Here is a 9,565-nt window from a genome sequence, read left to right on the forward strand (position 1 = left end):
TCCAATCTTTATATCCAAAATATTTTTAAAACCCTGAAAACTCAATAATAAGGAGATAGATACCCCAATTTATAAGTGGTCAAAAGATTTGAGCCGCCTTCACCACAGAAGATGCATGAATCAAATAAGAAACTGCAATTTTGCTCAATACCATTGATCACTGAAGAAATGCAAATTAAAATTCCAATAGGTAAGTCCTACATGGGCCTATGAGAATATTTAAAATTAAAAAGGTTGATCATAGCATTGCTAGTGAGTGTGTGGAGCAAGTAGCAATATCATACATGGCTTCTGGGAATAAAAGTGTTATGATCACCTTGAAAAACAGTTTCATAAAAAGGTATACATATGCCTACCATTTGTCCTAGCCATGACACAGTTAAATGTTCACCCAGGAAAACCAAAAGCATGTATTTGTAGATTCTTAGGCATGAATGTGTAGCAGCTTTCTTTGTAATAGCCAAACCTTGGACACTGCTTGAATATCCATCACCAGATAAATAGACAAATAAGTTGTGATATATTCATACAATGGAATACTACTTGGCTGTCAAAGAATGAACTGTTGATTCAGGAACCAACAAAGATGAACTTCAAAATAATTTGCTGCATGAAGGAAGCCAAACAATAAAGAATATGTACTCTATGATTATATTTATACATGGTTCTATAAAATGTACCCTCATTTTGCTGACAGAAAGTATAGTACTTGGTTGAGGACAGAGATATGAGAAAAGCAATGTGCAGGAGGAAAGAATTACAATATTTCAAGAGGAAACTTGGCAGTGAGTGATAAGCTCATTATCTTAACTGCAACAATGATTTTATGCATCTATACATATATGCAAACTTAGAAACTAGACACTTAAAATATGTGCTATTTACTGACAACTAATCCAATAAAACTATTAAAATGTACATGTTATTAGGGCTCCTTAATTTTTATCTCTTATCCTAATCTCACCTTGAACTAAAAATTTACATATCCAACTTTCTACCTGATATCTCCTCTAGGAGTTCCCACAGGAATCTCTAATTTCGAATATACAGAGCTTGATATTCTTTTTTTTCCAAATTTTCATCTCTTGTTATACTGAAACTCTTCATCAGTGGTAAATCCATTTTTCTAATTTCTTAGCTCAAAATCCTTACAATCATTTTTATAATTCTTTTATCCTCTCATATCCTACATCAAATCTCTCAGCATATCTTGTGTCATCTGTCTTCAAATTACATCTAGGGGCAACTACTCCTCAACACCTTCACTGTTCGCACTATAGTCCAAACCAATCTGTCATATCAACCCCCTACAATGTCCCTTTAACTGTCAAAATGTCTTCCAGTATTATTCCCCTCTAGAGCAGCCAGGTGGACCCTTGTAATACATTAACATAACTGTGTCACATTGTCAGCTCCTCCCGTGTCTTGCTATCCTGCTCATAACAAAATCAAAAATCCTTTTCTTAGTTTACAAGATTCTACAAAATCTAGTAGCCTTACTCTCACCTATCAATCAATCTGCTTCAACCACCTCGGAGTACGCTCTTGCCTCAGACATTTGCACTGCATGGATGCTCTTTCTGGAATGTCCTCTACTGAAATATTCACAAGGTGCATTCTATCCCTTCATTCACATCTCTGCCCAAAATGCATATCCTTGGAGAAGCTATCATTTCTGTAGCAGCACCACCTCACCACATTCATTGTCTTCATAGCATGTATCATTACATCCAATTTTACAGCAGGTGTGTTTGTAAATTGTTTGTACCTCCCGTGCAAATATATTCTTAAGAGCACCAACTTGGTCCTCTTTTATTTATCTACTGCTCTTTAATATATTTGGTGATTGATAGGAATCAGTTGCTTTACTAAATGAATCAGTCAATATATACAGCGTTCGCACTGGCAATCTCAAAAAGCTGAGAATTACAAATCTAGACTTTAGAGTCAGCTCATCTATATGCTTCTCAAATGTTAACTGTAAACTGCAAAACACTGAGGCTCCTACATCATTCAGATTAATTCTTCTACGCTGTTAAAATATTAAGTAGTACCAGAAATTTGATCAATTCTGGCAGAAAAGAAATGGCAACAATGACGTATAATGTGGCTTAACCAAATTGAATGTTTGACTATCACAACAAGAAACCGTTTATGTATTAGTGCCTTATGTATTTTCACATAGTGTTAGCAGCATACGTACATGATATTCATTGGCTTTGCATCTCCATTGTTACTAACATTGTTTCCCTACTTGCAGCAACCCTTTGAATTTCTTAACTTTTCACGTTGCTTTTGTAGTTGACAGATATAGATGAGTGATGTTGGGTTTTACTGAACACATGTTTCATTTCATATTCAACGTTTTAATCATTAGGTTGTGTATACATTAATTATGTTTGTTTCTAAACATTGAAATTTAGCAAATCATGTGCACAAAGATAACATTAATACTTAAATGTCCAAATGTTCATGCAGTTAATTAAGATTTTGTTTTAAATTTACTTAAAATAAAGCAAGCCATCAACAGATTTTTTTCCTAAAATAATGCTTGTATCTATATTCTGATCTCAACACAGAACTTTAGATAATGATTCTGTCATTCCAATAAATTACCTTACCTTATCCTGAAAAATGATAGGTTTAACAAGGTGATCACTATGGTATGATTCAGCTGTCATTTTAAAACATATCCTTGGTTAGAAATTTTTCTAAAAAATAATATATAACTATGTAATTCTAATATTTTATTGTTACTGTTTTATAATTTAAATTGCATATAGATTGACATCTAATATACATTTATACGTCTACATATCTCTATATAGATACATATTTTTTTCTAACATGCACCTGAATTATAGTTGACATTAAAAGATAATTAGTAATAATAAGTTCCAGGACTAGCAAAATGTTTTTTATTCACCATAAAATGTTCTTTCCAATTGCAACTTATAGTTTTTTTGTATTTAATTATTCCTAATTAATTAACTGTATTTAATTATTACAATCATCAAGACTCTCAGTAGCTTACTTAGCACATTTTGGGGAAAGTACTATTGGTCATAAACATTTTAAATATAACTTCCCATATTATAGCCACATAATCCACAAATATATACTATGTAATAAAAATGGGAAATAAGTAGTCAATGTTCTGGATAATAAATTGCAAACTCTTTATCAATGGTGTTTCTGACATAAAATTTCTAGATTTATTCAAATGAAAATGAGGCCAGGCGTTACAGAGATCAAGCCTGTAATCCCAGCACTTTGGGAGGCCAAAGTGGGTGGATCACCTGAGGTCAGGGGTTCCAGACCAGCCTGGGCAACATGGTGGAACCCTGTTTCTACCAAAAATACAAAAATTAGCCAGGCATGGGGGTGCATGCCTGTAATCCCAGCTACTTGGGAGGCTGAAGCAGGAGTATCGCTTGAACCCGGGAGGCAGAAGTTGCAGTGAGCTGAGACCACACTACTGCACTCCAGCCTGGATGACCAAGTGAGACTCCATCTTGGAAAAAAAAAAAAGAGTTATGCTATTTCTCTATTAGTATCTTAGTATCTCTCTACCACCCTAATAATCCCACATCTTGGATTGCTTGTATAAAACAGTAAAATGTAACAAAATTCTAAGAGCTTTAAAAAAAGCTTTTAAGTTGTTCATAAAACAAGATAAGTGTATAAATTGTACGTTTTAAAACAAAGTGAATTAATATTTAATTTTAAAACTGACACAACTTTTTAAAGTATGGGCTGAAGTTCACGAACCCATGGGTTTCAATTATGTGCTATAATTTCCCACTTCATGCTAAATCAGGCATCATATTGTGATATTTAATATTTCACAAACTGAAATGCACATTACAAATCTGGAAAGTTATTGAAAAGGAGAATACAAATAGCATATATCATGAAATCTCTCTACTCAAAGGAATCTACAACAGAAATTTTATGATAACCTGAAGAACAAGTAAACATCTCTCCATATTATTTGAACTCATTATATTCTATACACTTTATACTAGAGATGACTTATAAACATAATGCCAAATAAAATTACTTTTATAAAAACTATATGAATTCAATATTTCTATGCAATTTTAAAGAGAATTCATTAGTACCATATATCATACACTTTTTAGAAATTGCACAAACTCTGTGTACACATACAGAAGCATGCATACAATTCAACACTTAATTATCTAAATGCTACAATATGAAGCATTTCACAGTAAAAATGAAAAGTATCATATTTGTATATGACACAGGAAACTTAAATAGCATGACTGCTACATAAGATACATGTCACCGAAACTGTTCTAAAGGAAAATCCACGTTTTCAAAATAAGAACCACTTTATTCAGTTGTGGAAGATTAGTTTTTCCAAAGTTCTACGAATTAATGAAGTAATAGGTAACACTCAGAGTTATATTTTTATATTTTTAACCATATTTCAGTATATTTTATCCTTAGAGCAGACAATACAGCTTTCTAGAAATTAATTATTTAGTAATTATACAATGTGTACTTTAATTGGCAACATCGAGTTTTCAATGAAGTTTTATTAAGTTTGTACCATTTATTTGTATTTTCTATTTACAAGTAGGCAAAGATAAATTGTATAACTGATAAAATGGTTTCTGACGAATATGCAAAATAGTTACAAGCTGTTCAATATTCATATAAAATATTTTGTTACCCTAATAATATGTATAAAATAAATAATCTTTTATTTCTAAGATAATGGAATAATTTTATGCTTAGCTATGTGAATATTTTTTCTGTAATTATAAGCATCTTATAAAAATAAAAACACTAAAACAACAAGAATAGCTAGCTAACTTTTACATGTCAATTACTCATGAATAAATAACATCAAATTAGGAAAAATAAACATAGCAATAGGACATTAAAACTGCATTTCTAAGCCCCCCAAAATAGGCTTCCTGATTTTATGCTGCTATAAACTCCCTAAATACGCTTATTTCTAATTGCTGTAATAGATTGTTAGCAGAATAAATGGGACTGGCATTTTATTTTTCTTGTGTTTCCATAAACCTGGATTCTCAGGGATTGAAAAACTCTGAGCAACTTCTGTTTATAAAGGCTTTGAGTGTATTAGAAAATGAAGAATTTAAAAAAACAGACAACACCAAAGTTAGGTTATTGTAGATGTCTCTTTGTATAGCAAATAAACATTTTTAACACAAAAATACACTACAGCATACATAGTTAATCTAGCTATGATTTTAGAATGTATAAAATTATGAATTTGTGGAGCACAGAGGCAGAGTAATCATTTAGGATTCCAGTGTGCAGTCGCATGATGAAAGGCTTCTTTCAATTCTGTTTACGTCTGTGAGTGGATATACAGCATATGGGAGGGGCTTGATCACAAGTCTGAACTCTAAGTCCCTTATAAATGTTTCTTTTTGCTTCTCTGTGATGGACACTGATTCTATCCGTTTGTGTTTTTTATCTTCTATCTAGACATGAAACGGGCATTTATTGGATGACTTTGCATGGTTTCTTCAAGCACAATGTTAGAGGGATGTTTTCAGGGCCATCCAACCCATTTTAGTAAGGGAAGTCATTAGACGAGCAAAATCAAACCTTCAAGAAATTTCAACAGGAAGTTAAGAATAGCAGTCAATAATAATAATTGATGGCAAGGAAGAATAATTCTATCTTGACTTGCCTGGGGAACTGAAGATCATTTCCTCTAGTTGTTGACTGAAAGTGCCTAAAATAAATAAATAAATAAATAAACTGGCCCTCTAAAATTTTGAAGTGAGGAAATGTTTTTGTTAGGGGGTCTGTTTTCTAAGTGACCTGTTCAGGCATCATCTATCTCCAAGTTTTCACAGAGCTCCAGGCTAGGAATGGCATCTAAGGTAAAATTGCTCCAAAGAAGAAAAAGACATTTTAGCTTCAGAATTTTGAAACTACAGTAGTTATGTATTTCTGCCTAGGTTGCAATGTTTAGCCGTAAACATTGTTGTTAATTATGGATTAAAAATCACTGGATTGAAAAAAATATATTTTCATAAATATCTTAGACATAGATACTGCTAAGGCTAGCAGACAGTAGATATATCTTTTAAAACTATAACTAAAAAATTCGGTCCTGTAGTTTCCTCACTATAAAGGATTATAAAGATAGTCTCTTAGGACCCAGCATTATATTCTCAGTATGATGAAGAAGTTGCCATCATACATCTGATGTGTTCTTTTTTACCGCATGAGGTACAAGTGAGGTTATTAGTTTAGGATTTGAATAGAGGAAAGTGAATGGGAAAAATGAAGACATCAAATGATACAGCAAATTTTAGCTGATAGAGTGGGGAAGTAAACTTAATAGTAAAACATTGTTGGATTTGGGGCATTACTGAGGTACAGTTATAATCTTGAAACAATTCAGTAAAATTGGTAAACTAAATATTGAAGTTTTCTCCCAATATGCTCGAGTTCCTTAAATGGCTTCTGTTTTTTCCTAAAATAAGAGCACAGTTTTTAATGCAGCCCCAGAGGTCCTTTATGGCCTGTCTCTCACCAACTACTTCTATATTAGTTTAACCATACTGATGCTTGTAAGTAGAAATAGCTCACTCCACTCACAACACAAATAATCTTGCACATGTTCTTCAACAAAAGCATTGTACTTTCAATAGAGTCACTTTACGAGTAGTTCCAGTTTGTCGCACAGAATAACAAAAGATGACACTGAAGCATCGTTACGCAACAAAATTTTTAAATTTTACTTTTTTACTAAGGACTTTATTTTTAATTAATTAATTAATTTAGAGATGGAGTCTTGTTCTGTTGCCAGGCTGGAGTGCAGTGGCATAATCTCGGCTCACTGTAACCTCCGCTTCCCCGGTTCAAGCGATTCTCCTGCCTCAGCCTCCCAAGTAGCTGGGACTACAGGCGCCCGCCACCACGCCTGACTAATTTTTACATTTTTAATAGAGACGAGATTTCACCATGTTGGCCAGGATGGTCTCGATCACCTGACCCCGTGATCCACCCGCCTCGGCCTCCCAAAATGCTGGGATTACAGGGGTGAGCCACCGCGCCCGGCCAGATGCCCTGTTTTAACATGTTCTAGGGTTCCAGCAGTGTTTCTCACCATTGCCTTCGTATTATCATTTCAAATCTCAAGACAGTGAAATGCCATAATTTTGACCTCTCAAATACCGTGAACAAAATCTCAGAGACCTTTAACAGGTCCACAGATCACTGTCTCAGAATCTCTGCCTAAGAATAATTTTTACATGTTTACTGTTTCTATTGCACTACAATCTCCCAGCCTGTCCAAGAAATCTCAAACACATTTTCAGATATAAACTTATATTCATGCTAATAGAAATCTTCTCTGACACATCTGGTCTCATCTTCATAGCACCAATGGCTTTTCCTTTGAGATGCTCATAATGGTTGGAATTTCCCATTAATTTATTATTTGTTTGAATTTCTCATCTTCTAAGAGACAACAGATCATAAAATCAAATAATTACAGCCCCAGGAAGTTCATGCATAAAATCATGGAATTGGACAGTTTGTGGAATAAAAGTAAGCAGACACAAAATATCTAAGGGAGGGGTGCATGATGCTCTTTCAAAAAACATGCAAATCCTTCCCCTTAGTGGAATACAGACATGTTGAAAATTAAATTGGATATATCCTAGGACTCCAGTTTGTCACCTGTGCCTCAGTTTGGAATATTCATAAGGACATAGTCACTGACTTTGTATAGATTTTGTTTTGTTTTGCCTTTCAAAAAATGTTATAGCAGCACCTAGCACTGTCAGAAATACGTTGAATCCTCGTATAAGTTCAATGAATGAAAGAACACAGTTTTTGCTACCTAAAATGTTATTAGGATATGAATACATAAAGAATTTGGTGTTTGAGAGGGTAAAATAGTGATTCTAGGCTCTTCAGTGGACTACTGATTGTAAATTATAAGTGATTTTTGGGCTATGTGAGACATAAATTACAATCAGGTACAGAAAGTTATACTATGATGTTGACAAAACTATGTGCCTGCAGGACTATAGTGGAATCAAATTGATGGCTCATAAGTTATCAGAATGACAAGTGATAGCTGTGTATTTTCCCCTCCTTCTATAGTAAATACACTTGATTCCAAGTGCTACAAATGGATGTTTTTGTTGAACTTGTTAAAGTGATTGTGGTTTTTCTTACGTAGTTTATTACTATAGTAAACAACACTGATTTAATTTTCAAATATTGAACCATCGTTGAATATCCAGGATGAAACCCAATCGTTCAATATGTACTGTCTTTATAATATTTTTAAATATGTTTTTAATTGACAACATAAAATTGTTTTTATAGTTATGATGTACAACAAGATGTTTTAAAATATGTATAGGATGTGAAATTAATAAATTGTTAACATAATTAACATATGTTATCTCACATACTTCTTTATAACACTTCAAATCTACTCTTTTAGCAATTTCCAAGTATACAACATATTGTTATTAATTATGTTAATAACACCATGTTCTACAATAGATCTCTTAAAATTGTTGCTCCTATCTAACTGAAATTTTGTATCCTCCTACCAAAATCTGCCCAAACTCCCCTGACCCCAGACCCTGGTAACCACCATTCTATTTTTTGCTTCTGAGTTCCACTCTTTAAATTCTGTACATAAGTACATAAGTAAAATCATGCTATATTTGTCTTTCGGTTCCTGGCTTATTTCACTTAACATAATGTCATCTGTGTTCATCTATTATGCCAGCAATGACAAAATTTCCCTCTTTATGAAGTTAAATAATATTCCATGTGTTTATATACCACATTGTATTTATCCATAATTAGATTCTTAGATTCAATCCTCCATTAATAGACACTTAGGTTAATTCCATATCTTGGCCATTTTAAATAATGCTGCAATGAACAAAGGAGTGCAGGTATTTCTTTGACATACTGATTTCATTTCCTTTGACTATATTTGCAGATGTAGAATTGCTGATTCATAATGGTAGTTCTATTTTTATTTTTATTTTATTTTTCAACAGTCCTCCATGCTGTTTTATGAAATAGCTGTACTAATTTACATTTTCACCAACAACTTGCAAGGGTTTCCTTTTCTCCAGGTAATTGCCAACACTTAATATCTTTAGTCCTTTTATTTTATTCAGAAAACCATGTTTGCCACTAAACAATTTGCCAGTAACTCCAGCTATTTGGAGAAATTTAATTATTTGACTTTCAGTCTTCTTTTTGTTATTTTGTTTTGTTTTGTTTTGTTTTGTTTTGTTTTGAGACGGAGTCTTGCTCTGTCGCCAGGCTGAAGTGCAGTGGGGCGATCTCAGCTCACTGCAACCTCTGCCTCCCTGGTTCAAGCAATTTCCCCTGCCTCAGCCTCCCAAGTAGCTGAGATTACAGGCACGTGCCACCACGCCCAGCTAATTTTTTTTGTATTTTAGTAGAGAGAGGGTTTCACCATGTTGGCCAAGAAGGTCTCGATCTCCTGACCTTGTGATCCGCCCGCCTCAGCTTCCCAAAGTGCTGGGATTACAGG

The 9,565-nt window shown here is 33.5% G+C and overlaps 1 non-coding gene across 1 annotated transcript; it reads right to left on the minus strand.

Moving 5' to 3' along the window:
* Positions 1 to 9,176: 9,176 nt before the first annotated feature.
* LOC124900186 (small nucleolar RNA SNORD65) lies at positions 9,177 to 9,247 on the minus strand. Its single transcript, XR_007058533.1, has one exon. It is a non-coding gene; the product is annotated as a small nucleolar RNA SNORD65 (small nucleolar RNA).
* Positions 9,248 to 9,565: the final 318 nt, after the last annotated feature.

Source organism: Homo sapiens, chromosome 4 (genome assembly GCF_000001405.40).
Source record: "Homo sapiens chromosome 4, GRCh38.p14 Primary Assembly".
Lineage (NCBI taxonomy): Eukaryota > Metazoa > Chordata > Mammalia > Primates > Hominidae > Homo > Homo sapiens.